Source organism: Homo sapiens, chromosome 13, assembly GCF_000001405.40.
Source record: "Homo sapiens chromosome 13, GRCh38.p14 Primary Assembly".
Classification (NCBI taxonomy): domain Eukaryota; kingdom Metazoa; phylum Chordata; class Mammalia; order Primates; family Hominidae; genus Homo; species Homo sapiens.
In genome coordinates this window covers 43,824,711-43,843,304 of record NC_000013.11, presented here as the reverse complement: position 1 = coordinate 43,843,304, position 18,594 = coordinate 43,824,711, and the positions used below count along the sequence as shown (strand labels likewise).

The 18,594-nt window shown below is 36.2% G+C and overlaps 1 protein-coding gene across 9 annotated transcripts in view; it reads left to right on the top strand.

The window, feature by feature from the left end:
• CCDC122 (coiled-coil domain containing 122) overlaps positions 1-18,594 on the top strand; it is a 60,723-nt gene that overhangs the window by 36,436 nt on the left and 5,693 nt on the right. For 6 of the 9 annotated variants that reach the window (XM_024449327.2, XM_024449324.2, NM_144974.5 and 3 more), the window contains one exon: positions 5,876-6,953. The exons of 2 other annotated variants lie outside the window; for them this stretch is intronic. In XM_024449327.2, coding sequence (XP_024305095.1) covers positions 5,876-6,025 — 150 coding nt within the window. In that variant the 3' untranslated portion in view covers positions 6,026-6,953. Of the gene's footprint in view, positions 1-4,216; positions 4,653-5,875; positions 6,954-18,594 lie in introns of those variants that run through there. One more of the 9 variants, XM_017020398.2, reaches the window with a different exon arrangement.

Here is an 18,594-nt window from a genome sequence, read left to right as displayed (position 1 = left end):
ATAGTTTCAGAAACAGCATTAGACAGAATTCAACACTCTCAACAAATTTTATGAGAATAGCATATTTTCTGAGAGTAATATCAGCAAATTAAGAATAGAAGGAAACTTCATCAACTTGATAAAGGGAATTTATTATAAAAAAACAATCTTATAGCCAACAACATATCATACTTACTGGTGAAATGTTGAATGCTTTCTCCCCTAAGACTGGGAACAAGGCAGAGATGTCTGATATCACCTTCTTTATGCATCATTATTCTGGAGGTCCTAATCAATGTTATAAGAAAAAAGTAAATATAAGGCATAAAGATTGGAAAGAAAAAAGTAAAACTGTCATTATTCACAGATAGCATAATTGTTTATGTAGAAAATCTTAAGAAATAGAAAAGACTAACAGAACCAGTAAGTGAATTTAGAAAGCTCATAGGATAAAAGGTCAAAATACAAAAATCACTTACATGTTTATGTAGTTTCTATGTAGTAGCAATAAACAATGAGGAAGTAAAATGAATAAAACAAAACTTTATTCATTAACACTAAATGACATAAAATACTTGCTAATGAATTTTGTGAAAAAATGTGCAAAACTACAATAAAAATTGCTGAGAAATTAAAGATACTAAATAAATGGAATGATATCCTATGTTCATAGTTTAGAAAACACGATATTATTAGTGTCAAATTTCCCCTCAAATGATGTATAGGTTCAACATTGTTCCATAAAATTCCCACTAAGTATTTTTTCCAGGAATTGATAAGCTAATTTTAAAATTTACGTGAAAACGCAAAGGATCTAGTAGCCAAAACAACCTTATAAAAGAAGAATAAATTTGTAGGACCTAATCTACCTAATATTAAGATTTATTATAAAGCTATAATTATGAAGTAACTGTAGTATTGGTAAAAGAATAAATAGACCAATGGAACAGAATAGAGTTCAGAAATTAATCATATTTTGTCAATTTGACAAAGTTTTCAAGGCAATTCAATGAAAAAAAGGAAAGTCTTATCAACAAATGGTACTGAAACAACTGGATATCGGTGAGGAAACAATGAACCTGTATCTCCACCTCACAACAAACACAAAAATTCATCTGAAATGGATCATAGATCTAAATGTGAAAGTTAAAACTCTAAAGCTTCCAGAAGAAACTATAGGAGGATATCTTCATTATGTTGGGTTAGCAAAGATTTCTTGGTACACAAACTTTGCTAACCATAGTGAAAAATATTGATATGTTAGACCTCAAACTTTGAAACTTCTACTCTTTGAAAGACACCATTAAGAAAATGAAAAGGGCTGGGCACAGTGGCTCATGCCCATAATCCCAGCACTTTGGGAGGCCAAGGCAGGAGGATGTCTTGAGCCCAGGAGTTGAAGACCAGCCTGGGTAATACAGTAAGATCTTGTCTGTACAAATAAAAAAATTAGTCAGTGTGATGGCGCACACCTGTGGTCCCAGCTACTCAGGAGGCTGAGGTGGGAGGATCACTTGAGTCCAGGAGGTCGAGGCTGTAGTGATCTGTGATCATGCCACTGCAGTACAGCCTGGGCAACAAAGTGAGACCTCCCCACTTCAACAACAACAACAAAAGAAAATGAAAAGACAGAATCACAAAAGTAAAAATATTTGCAACACATGTATGTGCACAAAGGACTTGTATCCAGGATGCGTAAAGAAAGAAATCCTATCAGCCTATAATAAAGTCATACAGTCATTTTTTTAAAAATGGGCTAAAGATTTGAACAGAACTTAACAAAAGAAGACATAGTATGACCAATAAACACGTGAAAAGATGTATAACACCCTTAACACCAAGGAAACGTGAATCAAAACCACAATGAGATACTATTCACACCTTTTTACCCCTAGAATGATGAAAGTTTCAATGAATATTAATACCAAATGTTGCTAAGGACATGAAACAACTGTTAAGATCATGCACTACTGGGGAGATTATAAAATAGTGCAACTGCTTTGGAAAAACAGTTTGAGAGTTTCCTAAAAAGTTAGCATATACCTGCTGTATGTCCAAACAATTCTCCACCTAGGTGTTTACTCAAGAAAAATGAAAAAAATATGCCTTAAAAAAGTTGTAAAGCTTGTATATGAATTCTTACAGTAGCTTTATTGACAAAAACCCCTAAATAGAAACATCACAAATATCCCTAGAAAGGAGAATGGAAAAATAAATTGTGATGGGTGCACTGCACCCACTGTCCTGCACCCACTGTCCGACACTCCCCAGTGAGATGAACAGGTGCTGGAGAGGATGTGGAGAAATAGGAACACTTTTACACTGTTAGTGGGACTGTAGACTAGTTAAACCATTGTGGAAGTCATTGTGGTGATTCCTCAGGGATCTAGAACTATAAATACCATTTGACCCAGCCATCCCATTACTAGGTATATACCCAAAGGATTATAAAACATGCTGCTATAAAGACACATGCACATGTATGTTTATTGCAGCACTATTCACAATAGCAAAGACTTGGAACCCACCCAAATGTCCAACAATTGTAAACTGGATTAAGAAAATGTGGCACATATACACCATGGAATACTATGCAGCCATAAAAAATGATGAGTTCATGTCCTTTGTAGGGACATGGATGAAGCTGGAAACCATCATTCTCAGCAAACTGTTGCAAGACAAAAAACCAAACACCGCATGTTCTCACTCCTAGGTGGGAATTGAACAATGAGAACACATGGACACAGGAAGGGGAACATCACATCACGCACCGGGGCCTGTTGTGGGGTGGGGGTAGTGGGGAGGGATAGCATTAGGAGATATACCTAATGTTAAATGAAGAGTTAATGGGTGCAGCAAACCAACATGGCACATGTATACATATGTAACAAACCTGCATGTTGTGCACATGTACCCTAAAACTTAAAGTATAGTAAAAAATAAAAATAAAAATAAATTGTGGTATATTTACATAATGGAATACTACACATACTACCTGTGAATAGATAACTTGTCCAGCCCTATTATTCTATCATTTTATCAGTCCATTTAAAAGTAGGTGTTTTACTGTAATGAGAGGCCACTTCACTTCCACAAGCATGGTGTTAAAGCGAACAAAATATGGCCTGGGAAGAACTCTGTACATCTATATTTGAGTCCTAGTGGATGAACTGCAACCTAACTCAATAGGTAGACAAGATGGAAAACCTAACTTAGGAGTATGTGTCTGTAACAACAGCTGAGTGTTGGACAATCCCAGCGGCCATACTTCAACCACTCATAGACTGCTGAGTGTTCAAACTGTGTTCAAATAAGGCAAACACAGAGATGTAACCAATCCCATTGTTTCTGACCTCACTTCCAATTCCTGTACCTCAAATTTACTTTTTTTGTCTATAAATTTCTTCTGACCACGAGGCACCCCTGGAGTCTCTGAATCTGCTCTGATTCTGGGGTCTGTCCAGTTTGCGAATCATTCATTGCTCAATTAAACTCTTTAAATTTAATTTGGCTGAAGTTTTTCTTTTAACAGTGGCCATGACCAAAAACATAGATAATAAGTATTTTCAAGGATGTGAAGAAATTGGAACCCTCACACATTACTGGTGTGTAAAATTACACTGGAATGTAAAATTATACAGTCGTTTTGAAAAACAGCTTAGCAGTTCCTGAAATGGTTAAACATGGAGTTACCACATGACCCAGTAATTCTACTCCTCACTGTATACCTGAGAAGTGAAAACATATATTCACACAAAATCTTGCACACAAATGTTCATGGCAGTATTATTTATAATAGCTAGAAAGTGGAACCAACTCAAATGTTCATCAACTCATGAACTGGATAAATAAAATGTGGTATATCATATAATGTGCTATTATTTGGCAATACAAAGTAATTAAGTTCTGTTACATGGTATGCCATAGACCCTTTAAAAGCCATTATGCTAAGTGAAAGAAGCCAGTCACAAAAGACCACCTATTGTACAATTCCATTTATATAAAATGTCCAGAATAGGCAAATGTATACAAGGAGAAACTAGATTCATGGTTGCCGAGGGTTAAGTGTGGGGACAGGGGAATGGGGAATGACTGCTAATGGGTACCAGGTGGTGAAAATGTTTTAAAATTGATTGTGGTGATATTCGTGAAACAGAGTAGGAATGGAATTTAGCCCTCACCATGATTTGGCCTCCACCCCTACTAATACATTTTTTCCATACCCGCCCATTACCAGACCTTGCACCACCCATCCACTGGAGTCATCCTTGCTGACCACAAGATATCTCTTGAAACGGAGATAAGCAGCATCCCACTGTAAATCTTACTCAAGGGAGTTAACCTTATTGCAGGCATGTGCACAAGACCAGAAGAATGACTGATCTTTACCCTATCCCTCATTATAATACTGAAATTCTCACCCAGGGAAGAGCTTATCCATCATATTTTGATCATGCAATGTATGCGCTAGCATGATTTCTCATTGTGCCTGCACACCCTGTGCTCCACCCGGCACATGTAATGACACTTCCATACCTCATGCACATTCCTGTCACCTTTCCTAGAAACACCACAAAGACCTGCCCTCAGAAAGCCAGCCAGCTAACTCTTGCTCCTGCACTGTCTCCATTGTGTTCAAACATAAGCCCCCAATAAAAGCCTTGTTTGGGAAACTTGCTCAGCCTTGTGTCAATTTCTATTAAATGAGAGCCTAAGAACCTGTGGTTGGTAACTTCATAGAGTTGGTACAACTCTATGAATATACTAAAGGCCCTTGAGTTGTACACTTTAAAGGATGGATTATATGGTATGTGAATTATATTTCTGTAAAGCTGTTTTTTAAGAAGATTGGGTGTTCTTGTGGCCCGACACGAAGACCAATGAAGCACTTTCCACTATGCTTCATTGCCTTCCAGTGTATCCTCGTCTGGCTCAGCATAAATGATGGTTTATTTAATAGCGGGGAAATGGACTACATGATCTCCTGGATCTTTTAGACCAAATGATCTGTGTTTCAGTGAATCACTGTATACAGGAAATGGGAAATGGAACCATTTTTCTTAACTGATGTTAAAAGAAAAACTTTAGACAAATTAAATTTGATAAATATAAAACTTTAGACAAATTTAAATTTAATAAAATTAAATTTAACAGAGCTTAATAGAAGAATGATTAGAGAAGCAGCAGCCCTCAGAACCAGCAGAGGTTCAGAGAGCTCCACTTCACAAAGTGGGCAGGCAACATTTATGGACAGAAAATGGAAATGAGGAGCAGAAAGGGCTTGATTGCTCTCAATGGCTCAATGTCTGTTTTATTTGAATATGGTATAGTCAGCGGACCACCTGTGATTGACCAAAGCTGGCTGCTGTGGTCGACTGAGTCTCAGCTATTGTTACAAAAATATACTCCTAGTTAGGCTTTTAGTTAGTTTAAATACTGTTAGATTGTAGTTCCTTACATAGGGACTCAAAGTAGAGTCCCCCAGGGCAAATTTAGTTTAACACCGGTAACTCTCTTAACAAGAAGGTATTCCATTATGGATATTTCACTTCTGCTAACCTCCCAAACTCCATCACTTGCTAGCTATGAAACTTTGGTCAAATTACTTGAACTCTTTTATCTTTGGTTTCTTCACACAAAAATGAGGATAATAATACCCATATCATAAGGTGTTATAAGAATTTAATTATATGCAGAAAGCTCTCAGCACAGTATCTAACATGTAATAAGTGTTGAATAAACAGTTTTACAATTACTGTTTATTTTTATCATAATTATTTATAGTGGATAGTTTCTAATTAAGTGCTTCCCTCTTTAGAGTAGTCAAAATATTATTTATGGCTGTTTACTATTTATACTTCACAAGCCCTGTTGATGTGTGCTCTTCTTTTGATAGGTACAACATAAGAGGTATGATGCAATTCTTAAGCGTTTGCATTGTCAGGTGAACAAGCTTCAGTCAAATAGACGACAGTGGCAATGGAACATTCAACAATTGGAAAAAACTGCAGCCGAATTAAGAAAATGCATTGGAATGCAAGAGTAACATTGCCATAGGGCAATGTGGAACACAGACCATGACAACAAAAATTACTGGACAGAACATTAAGAAAATCTTTTGGATTCTTAATAACAAGCATCCACTATTAGAGACCTGTCTTAATGACAGATGTCTTCGGTTGTTGTTTTTTTTAAATCAGTCATCGATTTGTTAAAATGCCTTCTAACCCTACACTTGATAGCAGTAGACAGACAATAGGAATGTCTACGGGAAAATAATGCAAGAGTCTCTGTGACTATTTGGAGTGTGTAAAATGTATTATACTCATGAATACCTGTTTATGTTGCATTCACTACCCTATGAAGTAAAAATTTAGAAGGGAAAAAACACTCGAATTTTCACTGATTTAAATTGTTAAGATTTTTAAAATGTTTGTCTGTTTCGAACTTTTTTTTTTTTTTTTTTTTTGAGACGGAGTCTCGCTCTGTCGCCCAGGCCGGACTGCGGACTGCAGTGGCGCAGTCTCGGCTCACTGCAAGCTCCGCTTCCTGGGTTCACGCCATTCTCCTGCCTCAGCCTCCCGAGTAGCTGGGACCACAGGCGCCCGCCACCGCGCCCGGCTAATTTTTTGTATTTTTAGTAGAGACGGGGTTTCACCTTGTTAGCCAGGATGGTCTCGATCTCCTGACCTCATGATCCACCCGCCTCGGCCTCCCAAAGTGCTGGGATTACAGGCGTGAGCCACCGCGCCCGGCCTGTTTCGAACTTTTTATTGGAACTTGTTTTTTTACAGCTGCCTTCACAGTAGCCCATAAATATTGATATTTATAATAATGTTTTTGTATGTTCAATGCTTCAAATATTTTACTCCATTTTCTCTTTTATCCAGAAGGTAACAATCATTTTTCTTTGTTATAAAATAACATATTTTGAGTGATACGATGAATAAAATATTTTGTTCACTTTCTATAAATTATTCGTATTCTGTGACTAAATTAAAGTTATAACATCATGTAACTCTTAAGAGTATTACTCACTATAGACTAACATATTTTTTCTCACTGAAAGGCAAAATGTCAATAAATCAAATGTTAACTTGTCCCTTTCAAGATAAACGTGCTCCTCCTTTTCATGGTTCCATTGAGTCAAATACTTAGAAACAAAAACAAATAGGAAGATATGGTTTTAAAATATTCATTTGTAGGATTAAATAATTTCAAACAGCATCAAAAAATATTTAAAATCCATTTTCTCCTTACCTTTCTATGTGCTAAAATTCAGTAAGTGGAGCTGATATAAAACCTGATATTAATAATCTTATTATGTCTAACAGTAATAGTTTTATTGTGGCTTAGCATGGCTTAATGTGGCTTACACTTCAAACAGCTTATCCTGTAACACAATCAGCTTTGGTCCATGACTCAGAAACAAAGCTACAGTGAAAATGGTGAAACCTACAGATTGTGGGGAGTACACACTATACTCGGCTGGAGATAAGCCAGAACCAAATGCTGATTATATAAGTATATTTTAATGTAACTTGCATATTAAAAAGTTATTATATTTTCTAAGTGTAGTTATCGCTTATAAAAAATTATAGTTTTCTAAAGTGTTTTAAAGTTTATATTGAGATTCAAAATATTTGTAAATGATAACACCTTGAGTTATAGATTCAAAAACTTGTTTTTAAATTCAGATATGAAGAAAATAGCTGTAATCTGCTTAAGATAATGTGCTCTATTTTTAAAAGTAAGTTTTAATGTAGTTTTCTAAAATATCCTTAATACATATACCTATTTTACATTTTATGACAGTCAAAAATTCTTTGAAAAAGAAACTTTTTCTCCTTGTTCTTTCTTTTTTTATTATACTTTAATTTTTAGGGTACATGTGCACAATGTGCAGGTTTGTTACACATGTATACATGTGCCATGTTGGTGTGCTGCACCCATTAACTCATCATTTAGTATTAGGTATATCTCCTAATACTATCCCTCCCCACTCTCCCCACCCCACAACAGGCCCCAGTGTGTGATGTTCCCCTTCCTGTGTCCATGTGTTCTCATTGTTCAATTCCCACCTAGGAGTGAGAACACGCGGTGTTTGGTTTTTTGTCCTTGCAATAGTTTGCTGAGAATGATGGCTTCCAGCTTCATCCATGTCCCTACAAAGGACATGAACTCATCATTTTTTATGGCTGCATAGTATTCCATGGTGTATATGTGCCACATTTTCTTAATCCAGTCTATCATTGTTGGACATTTGGGTTGGTTCCAAGTCTTTGCTATTGTGAATAGTGCCGCAATAAACATACGTGTGCATGTGTCTTTATAGCAGCATGTTTTATAATCCTTTGGGTATATACCCAGTAATGGGATGGCTGGGTCAAATGATATTTCTAGTTCTAGATCCCTGAGGAATCGCCACACTGACTTCCACAATGGTTGAACTAGTTTACAGTCCCACCAACAGTGTAAAAGTGTTCCTATTTCTCCACATCCTCTCCAGCACCTGTTGCTTCCTGACTTTTTAATGATTGCCATTCTAACTGGTGTGAGATGGTATCTCATTGTGGTTTTGATTTGCATTTCTCTGATGGCCAGTGATGATGAGCATTTTTTCATGTATCTTTTGGCTGCATAAATGTCTTCTTTTGAGAAGTGTCTGTTCATATCCTTTGCCCACTTTTCAATGGGGTTGTTTGTTTTTTTCTTATAAATTTGTTGGGGTTCATTGTAGATTCTGGATATTAGCCCTTTGTCAGATGAGTAGATTGCAAAAATTTTCTCCCATTCTGTAGGTTGCCTGTTCACTCTGATGGTGGTTTATTTTGCTGTGCAGAAGCTCTTTAGTTTAATTAGATCCCATTTGTCAATTTTGGCTTTTGTTGCCATTGCTTTTGGTGTTTTAGACATGAAGTCCTTGCCCATGCCTATGTCCTGAATGGTATTGCCCAGGTTTTCTTCTAGGGTTTTTATGGTTTTAGATCTAATGTTTAAGTCTTTAATCCATCTTGAATTAGTTTTTGTATAAGGTGTAAGGATGGGATCCAGTTTCAGCTTTCTACATATGGCTAGGCAGTTTTCCCAGCACCATTTATTAAATAGGGAATCCTTTCCTCATTTCTTGTTTTTGCCAGGTTTGTCAAAGATCAGATAGTTGTAGATATGCGGCATTATTTCTGAGGGCTCTGTTCTGTTCCATTGGTCTATATCTCTGTTCTTTCTTATCTTGGAAACTATTTCAGATAATAGAGAATTTCAGATTAATTAAGAACTAAAATTTGAGGTATCCAAAGCCTGATGATTTAGTGGATATGATATTTCAACACAATCATAAACTCTAATATTAGAAAATTGAAGTTATTTTTAATTTTAGTTCTGTATAATTGAACCTAGCTTAGAATATGAGCTCTTTTGCTTAGTGGCGTTTCACACACATGCTTCTGTTTTAAAGCTCAGTCTCTTTGAGGTAAATATTCAGTTCAAAATTCTCCTCTTCTTCGTTTTTTTTCTGCATGGAAGTGTTCTAAGTACCTGGTGGACTTGTTGTGTCATCAGGGACACTGCTCTGCACCAAATGTCATTTTCTGATCTCACTGGCCTCTGCAGAGATCTAATAATCCATTCTTCCTGGTGCTTAGGATCATCGTGAGTCTGTGCTATACCTGCAATTGTTTAGTCAATGCGGTCAGCTTCATTGTCCAATCACAAGACCTCTTCTAGCCCTAGTTCATTATCTGTCTGAATGCTGGTCAAATTTTATCTCTTTGGGACCTGTTATTCTATCCATGCATTCTTCCCCACTCCTTGATTTCAGTATAAATGGATTCTTCCAAGGTTCTCAGTGCTTTTAATGGCTCAGCAAAATGTCAACTCTCAAAATACTGAGTCTTCTGCAAAGGAAAGCTATAATTTCAAGAATACTGTTTCTACTGTGGACTTTTTAAAAGGCCTCATATGAAACTCAAAGCAAACAAATTACTTCTGAATTCTCAGTAGTATCTGTCCTGATCCGGGCCTGCTAGGCACTGTTACCTAAATGGTCAGTAAAAGGTAACAAATGCAAGGAAGCGGAGGGAGGGAAAAAAACCCCACAGTTAATATCTCAAAATATTACTTACTACATGTGCAACCTATGGACAAATTATAGTTGACCAATGTAAAGAAATTGATATCTACTTTAAGCCATATCTTAAAAACCATGGGAGTCACCATATTTTACACATTAAAGCCAGTTAAGTCAGCCATTATGGACACTTTCATGGCCAATATAAATGGTCTATATATTGTCTGTTAGACTGTGTGTCTTCCAGTCAATTGATTAATCATGCTATTTTCCAAAAACACTGTAGATACAAAATAACAACACTAAACAATGATAAGGTACTGAGTATGCTGTGCCCTGTTTGACAATTTGTATACATGATTTCATTTAATTCTCAAAATAATAGTCTAAAGCATGTATTATTTTCCCTGATTTGCAGATGAGGAAACTGAGGCTTAGGTTGAGTAACTTGCCTAAGATTTCATCACACAGCTCATCAGGGGCAAGGTTGAAATCAAAGCCCCATTTTAGCTACATGGAACTACAAGAAAATGATTCCAAGGACAAGCTTCAATTTTGTTATAAATAATAATTTATTTATACATTTAATCTATCATTTTGATATATTGCAAGGCATACAATAAATTTAATCAAGGGGAGAAATTTTGTAATTAAAAGTAAATGGCACACAAATGCATAGGTAACAGTTCATGAGGGTCAGTGTCAGTATAGTATTTTGGCTGTGGAAAATGGAATCCCATTTATGAAAATTGCTTTGGAAACTTTTAAAGTTTACATAGGACATTGCAATTAAAACTCTAAATTTCTGTGTTATTTTACATTGAACATGGAATTCACTGTTTATCCACAAAGGTTATTATAGGGCTATGTGAATACTATAGTGATTTGGAACTATTTGCGGGGGAGTCAGGAATTCAGAAGAACGTGGTTTTGATTTGTTAGTTGCTCATAGTTTAGCTTCTCATATTTTTAATATTATAAGTATTTTATTTTTCATTAACTAAGCTAATGATTACTAAAGCTAATTATCAGAAGCTAAAATATATTCCTGTCAAAAACAGCCCATGTTATCTGTTATTTTAATTTATAATGTATTTCTAAGGGAAGTAGTTTTTTTTTTTTTTTTTGGCTGATAAATATGGCAATGTAAGGAATGGGTCTTCTATATCACATTAGCTACCATATAATACTCTCTCTTGAATATTACTGAACTATGACCAAAACCAAGAAAGATAAATTGAAACAGACACTAATAGAAAAATAGATCTATTCAATACATAGCTAAGAATAGGCCGCTTCAAATTCCTTTTTCTTTTCTGTAATGTTCTATTTAAATAATGACTGTGAGCTCTAGATCTTTAGAAAAATAAAAATAGCATATGATTTGGTAATGACAGGGTTGCTGTTTACATAATCCCGTGAAGACAGACATGAAGTAATGAGACTTCAACCTCTTAATTAATGAGATGATGTATTCCAAAAGAAAATTAGAGTTCATGAGGGAAATAGTTTTAAAAGGCTTCTTACCCATAAAGCTCTCTGGCATAAAAATCATGTCGAAATTGGAATAAAACACTTAAATTACAGATATTTGCCAGCATTACTCACTCACATAGCACAAAGTAGTTTAGAGGCATTGACAATATACTGCCAGTCTAAGATGAATTTTTAAACATTTTTTGTCCAAAATCAATAAGCCAAGACACATTATCTACTCCATCTGCTATTGCTATCTCCCTAACATTATTTTACATGAAATAGACATATGTAATCCCAATGCTTGTATTGGAGAGGCTTCCTTGAGATGCTTTTGAGACTGTTTCTCCCAGAATCCATGGTGCTTCTTTGTGTATATGACACTGAAAAAAATATATAGCAAGCCTACAATTTGCATTAGTTATTTTGTCTTCAGCGACCTAGTATTAACTGACTCATGCACAGGGATCTCAGCCAGATGTCTGCATCCCTGTGCATGACCTACACACATACTTGGCAAAAAACAGCACATGATTTTCTCTTCCACCTTTTCCACAGAGACTGTCTAGCCACTCTCAAGTGTCGTTCTTTAAAATGAAACCTCTCTGAGAACACTTTCTTCACTTAGATGTAATATTGACTTTGCTGGGCAGTTAAATAATGTTGATAGTATTTTAATTTTAATTTGTGTTTCATACAAATAAAACATATAAAACATTCAATTCAGAAAAAGATCCATCCTTATTCTAACCTTCCACTAATTTAGATTATTTATCTTCTAAGCCTTTCAGTCTCAATTAATCTGTCACTGTAATTTACTCATGCACAGTTTCCTAATAATCAGTGTAATTCTCTCATGTTTCTTTCATCTCTTTTAATAAAAAATGCAGCTTCCTCATTCAGACCTTAGCTTTTTCAGTCCCTACACAGCCATAAGTTGCATCATCTTCAAGCTCCAATTCTCATTTTTTGTGGTAACTCCAAAGCTTAGTCCAGTGGCCTCAACTTAGATCTTAGTCATTGAAAATAATCTCTTCATTTAGAACCGGTTTATGCAAGAATCTATCATCTCTTTACTTTGACATGCCTCGCAAAGAAAAACTTTCTGAAACGTTGTGTAACAGACACAGTCACTGCTTTGCCTAAATCCTCTCAGATTTTTAAAAAATCCTTTTTGAGCAGCCCTCTCCCAATTGAGTCATGCTTTCGCCTCCAAAACTCTTACCTAAGACTTTCTCCGGGATGTTTGCTACCCTTAAAGGGACTTTCCTTGATATTGCAGCCTTGCTCGGCTTCTTTTCTCCTTACCAGTCTTGCTTCCCTTACTAATTTCTCTGGGGAAGACTTCAATAATAAATCACTCGCTCAAGAATCTTCATCTCAGAATCTGCTTCTGGGAATCCCAAACTAAGTCGCCTTACAAGATTAATCGCACATTGAAATCTCTATTTTCAAGAGATGACTATTCCACTCCCTGTTCCTCCCTCCTCCCTTACCCAAGATCGGTTCCACTTCCAGCAGCAGCCAAAGGGAAGAAATCTAATCACTGTCCCATTCAATGTAATTTTGACATGATTTATTTGCTTTAAATAGAAAAGCAAGCCAGGTTGGGCGCGGTGGCTCACTCCTGTAATCCCAGCACTTTGGGAGGCTGAGGCAGGTGGATCACCTGAGGTCAGGAGTTCAAGACCAGCCTGGCCAACGTGGTGAAACCCTGTCTCTACTAAAAATACAAAAATTAGCTGGGCGTGGTGATGCGTCCCTGTAATCCCAGCTACTCGGGAGGCTGACGCAGAAGAATCACTTGCAGCCAGGAGGCGGAGGCTGCAGTGAGCTGAGATCACGCCACTGCATTCCAGCCTGGGCAACAGAGTGAGACTCCATCTTTAAAAAAATTAATAAATAAATCTAGATTCTGAAACCCCAATTTAAAAGTTTAGAACATTTTTCAACTATGTTGAGGTCACACAATTTTTTAGGCAGATTTATTAGAAGTCTCATGCAACCAGACCAAAAGAGTGATATTTGGGGAAAATATTTTGGTTGTTCTCATTCCGACTGGATGACAAAGACAGGGACATGGACAGGAGCAACTTATGTCTGTACAGATTCTATGTCCTTCTATAATCATCTTGGTTCTCTCAAACCATTCTTTCTCAGCTTTTAAAATGAGCTGGCCGGGCATGTTGGCTCACACCTGTAATCCCAGCACTTTGGGAGGTCAAGGCAGGCAGATCACTTGAGGTCAGAAGTTCGAGAACAGCCTGGCCAGCATGTCAAAACCCCATCTCTACTAAAAATACAAAAATTAGCCAGGTGTAGTGGCACACGCCTGTAGTCTCAGCTACTCAGGAGGCTGAGGCAGGAGAATCACATGAGCCCGGGAGGCGGAGGTTGCAGTGAGCCGAGATCGCACCACTGTACTCCAGCCTGGGTGATAGAGCAAGACTCCGTCTCAAAAAAATAAAAATAAAAATAAAATGAGCAATTCTCCCTTTTAGCCATTCATTATCACATCTACAGCTCAAAAAACACTAGCATAATAGTGTGATGCAGACGAAGAGCAATTAACTCCGAAAATTAGAAAGGAGTATGGATCTATAGGACATAACATTGCAAAATATCAGCCACAGCATTTGTCATCATATTTAGAGAAAATTTATAGTAACTTTAACAGTATTTTTGTCAATAATAACATGATATATTTGTAATATTTTTACCATATCAAAACTTAAAATATAAGATTAGTAACAATTTATCAAAAGTAATTGTTAGTGTTGTAAAAATGATTTTAGCTTAGGCTAAAGTCAATATAACCTTTTTTGCCCTGGACTTCAAAACACTTGTAAACTTGTAAATTAATGATGCTAGTCCTCAAAATTTGTAGCTTATATACAAATAATTTAAAACTGCTGCAAAATGTCATACACTTATGGAAGTGGGACATAGTAATAGAAACAAAACTTGAATATCAACTTTTAAAGAACTAAATTTATTTATTTAGTTCTTTAAATTAAATTTGTCTCACACTGATCAGTGTGAGAGCCCCAAACAGGAAACTGATGGCAAAGAATTCTAACCAATTTTCATGTTATACCTCCTCTGTGTTAGGTAACTGCAAGAATAAATATGATGTAATTCTTGTTACCCAGGAGATCAATTTAGTTGACAAGAAAGACACGTGTGTGTGTGTGTGTGTGTGTGTGTGTGTGTGTGTGTGTGTGTATCTGTCTATAAAATAGGCTCAAATATGATGTAAAACATCCTGTAACAGAAGCATAAACCAAGCCCTTATTTTATTTTGGAAACACAAAATAAGGAGCAATTAATCCCAACTGGGGAAGGATGTTGCTTAAAGGAAGACTTGGCATTTGATGTGGCTGCAAAGCAAGTATAAGTTCTCATGGATATTCTCATTCATTAGGCTCGAAACATTCCTATTTTATTCTCCGTTGTAATCTCCACCAGCTAGCAGACACCTGACACATAATGCGTGCTCTGATGTATGTTGAATAAATTAATGAGTAAGATAATCAGTCTCATCAAAATCTCCCAATATCCTATCTTCAGTCTTTCCTACCTCTAATCTTCACTGTCAGTACCATTGCTTGAGTTACCTTCTTTGAGTAAAAATTGAGCATGTAATGCCTCTTCTAAAAAGTCAGAAGAAAAAAAGCCTTTCCATGGGCACAGAATCCTTGCCATGAGTAAACAGTAAACACTTTAAAATCTGTCCCCAACCTGCTTATCCAACCTCATTTTATCCCATTCTACCTAACAGATAAAATCTGCAATTCAGCTAAAACAAAATTCTAACTCTTCTCTAAGCATGTGCTTTGACATACTATTCCCTCTGCCTAGGTGTTCTCTCTCCTACATCCAGGAGTCAACTCCAACTCCACCTTTAGGACAAATTTCAATGGTTACAGCCACAATAAAGCTGAACTTCATTTAACATGTCTGAATTTCTCTGCAATGCCACAGTTTAGAAGTAGAGCCATCCCTCCATATAAACGAGGGATGGGTTCCAGGACCCCTATGTGTAACAAAATCTGAGCACGCTCAAGCCCACAGTCAGCCCTGCAGAACTTCTGTATAGCAAAAGTCAACCGTCCATATATGTGGGTGTACATCCCTAGAATACTGTATTTTTCATCTGCATTTGGATGAAAAGGAATCCCGTATAAGTGGACCCACGCAAGCCATGCAGTCCAAACCTGTGTTATTCGAGGGTCAACTGTACCAAAAAATCTGTATCATGATTTCTGAATCAAATTTATAGAGACAGAGGTTTACAACTTAGAGAACTTATGTAAGCCTTTTGTTTAGAATAGGTTAAAATCATTTTAAGCTTTTGAGTCTTGGGCTTCATTATGGACAGTCTAGCATTTGATTGACATAAGATGATACCAAATAAAAGATAATTCACTTATGATTTATAAAAGAACATGAAAATTAGTTTTTCCTGGACTATTTCCAAAATCTACTTGTATAATTTTACACCAAAATGTATGAACATTTATAAATATCAAAGCTTTTTTTGAAAATGCTTTTCTGGAAAATGTAATGATACTTTTAGGTAGCTCTAATGAAAGTAAATGTGCTTAACAAACCACAAGAAATATGCTTTTGTGTCCTTTCATTATAAATACTTTGAACCATGCTTTAAAAGAGTTTGATATGTTGAAAAATTATGTAAAGTGTTCCATCTTTAAAAGAAAACGCTGTAATAAGCTTCATGAAAATATAGCTAACCAAGTGGGACTGTCTGGGAAGAGAAAGGAAAATTCTTATTAAAAATGGAAATCATAACAGTTCTCTGAATACAGTATTATAAATTAGTCATAAATGTAATAAATATTTAAGATGACTTTGGGCAATTTAACTTTGTTTTATTGTTTCTATATGACTATGCATGATTATGAAATTTAACTATAATTCTAGTATAGTTTTTTCCAATGATATGCTTTATAGCTTTCCTATTACACCTAAAGCAAAGTCATTTTCAGAAAACCAGCTTTCTGTGTCTATTAAATTATTTTTTGCACTGCTGAAAATAACCTCTATTTTGATCACTTTCAAGTAGTCTTTACTTTTTTTCTCTAAAGTTACAATATCCTATTAGTTGATGGCACAGGGGTTTTGAGTACTTTTCAGAGTTTTGGCATCACAGGTATTCTTAACCACGCTTATTAGGCCTTAGAGAGTGCAAATTTTCTAGTACAAAGGGAGTTTTGAGCTTTCATTAAGATGTTTCCCAGATGCTTTAATTATCAAATACAGTTTAGCACAATTATGGCTGCTTTAACCAGGGATATTTGAGAAATAATGTACATAGCAAAATGGAAAAGCACTGGGTAGCTAATAAATAAACGACCACAGTAACATGATTTAATATCCCATATATCAAAGAGATAGTGTGTGTTTTATGATATTAACTATTTTAATTGTGAATACATCACAATTTAGGTAAGTAAGTTCAAAAATACAGTGTCCCTGAAATTGTATGCATTCTTTGAATCTGAATTAACAATATAGCACTATTTAATATGGTGAGCACTAGAGTAGAGTGAAGAAAAAAATGAAAGGCTAAATGTACCTTACCAAATAATGGGGGAAAAATAACTTAATAATGTGCATATTTCCAAGAGTATAAATTCATCGAAAGAGTTAAGACAAAAAGTAGATTACAAAGCATTACAGACAATATATTCTACTTGCGTTTTTTAAAGAGTGACTGTAAGTTGTGTTTCAAATTGCTGGGAATATTTAGCCCATGTCCAGACCAAGTACTGTTTTCTCTGGGTTAAATACTTCCAGTTCTTCTTTTCTAAAAATGTTTATTTTCATTTTAGATTCAAGAGGTACATGTGCATGTTTGTTACAGGGTATATTGCATGATGCTGAGGTTCCACTTCTAGTGATTCCATGACCCAGATAGTGAAGACATACCCAACAGGAAGTTTTTCAGCCCTTGCCCTACTCCCTCCCTTTTTTTTTTTTTTTTTTTTGAGACGGAGTCTCACTCCGTCGCCCAGGCTGTAGTGCAATGGTGTGATCTCAACTCACTGCAACCTCCGCCTCCCGAGTTCAAGTGATTCTCCTGCCTCAGCCTCCCAAGTAGCTGGGACTACAAGCGCACACCACCACGCCCAGCTAATATTTACATTTTTAGTAGAGACAAGGTTTTGCCATGTTGGCCAGGCTGGTCTCGAACTCCTGATCTCAGGTGATCCACCCAAGTTGGCCTCCCAAAATACTGGGATTATAGGCGTGAGCCACCATCCCTGGCCTACACCCTCCTTTTAGAGTCCCCAATCTCTATCTTTATGTCTGTGTGTACCCAGCATTTAGCTCCCCATTTTTCAGCCCTTGCCCTACCCCCTCCTTTTAGAGTCCCCTGTACTATCTTTAGGTCTGTGTGTATCCAGCATTTAGCTCCCAGTTATAAGTGACAGCATGCAAATTTTGGTTTTCTTTTTCTGTGTTAATTCACTTAGAATGGTGGCCTCCAGATGCATCCATATTGCTGAAAAGGACATGATTTCATTCTTTCTCATGGATGCATAGTATTCCATGGTGTATATGTACCACATTTTATTTATCCAGTCCACCATTTATAGGTACCTAGGTTGATTGCATGTCTTTGCTATTGCGAATAGTGCTTTAATTAAAGTACATACCCGTGCAAGGGTCTTTTTGGTAGAACAATTTATTTTCCTTTGAGTATATACCCAGTAATGGGACTGCTGGGTTGAATGGTAGTTCTATTTTTGGTTTTTTGAGAAACCTTCAAATTGCTTTCCACAGTGGCTGAACTAATTTACATGCCCACCAACAATGTATAAGCATTGTCTTTTCTCTGCAGCCTCACCAGCATCTGTTGTTTTCGACTTTTTAACAATAGCCATTCTGACTAGTATGAGATGGTATCTCATTGTGGGTTTGATTTGCATTTCTCTGATGATTAGTAATGCTGACCATTTTTTCATATGTTTGTTGGCCACTTGTATATCTTCTTTCCAGAAGCATCTGTTCATGTCCTTTGCCCACTTTTTAATGGGGTTGAT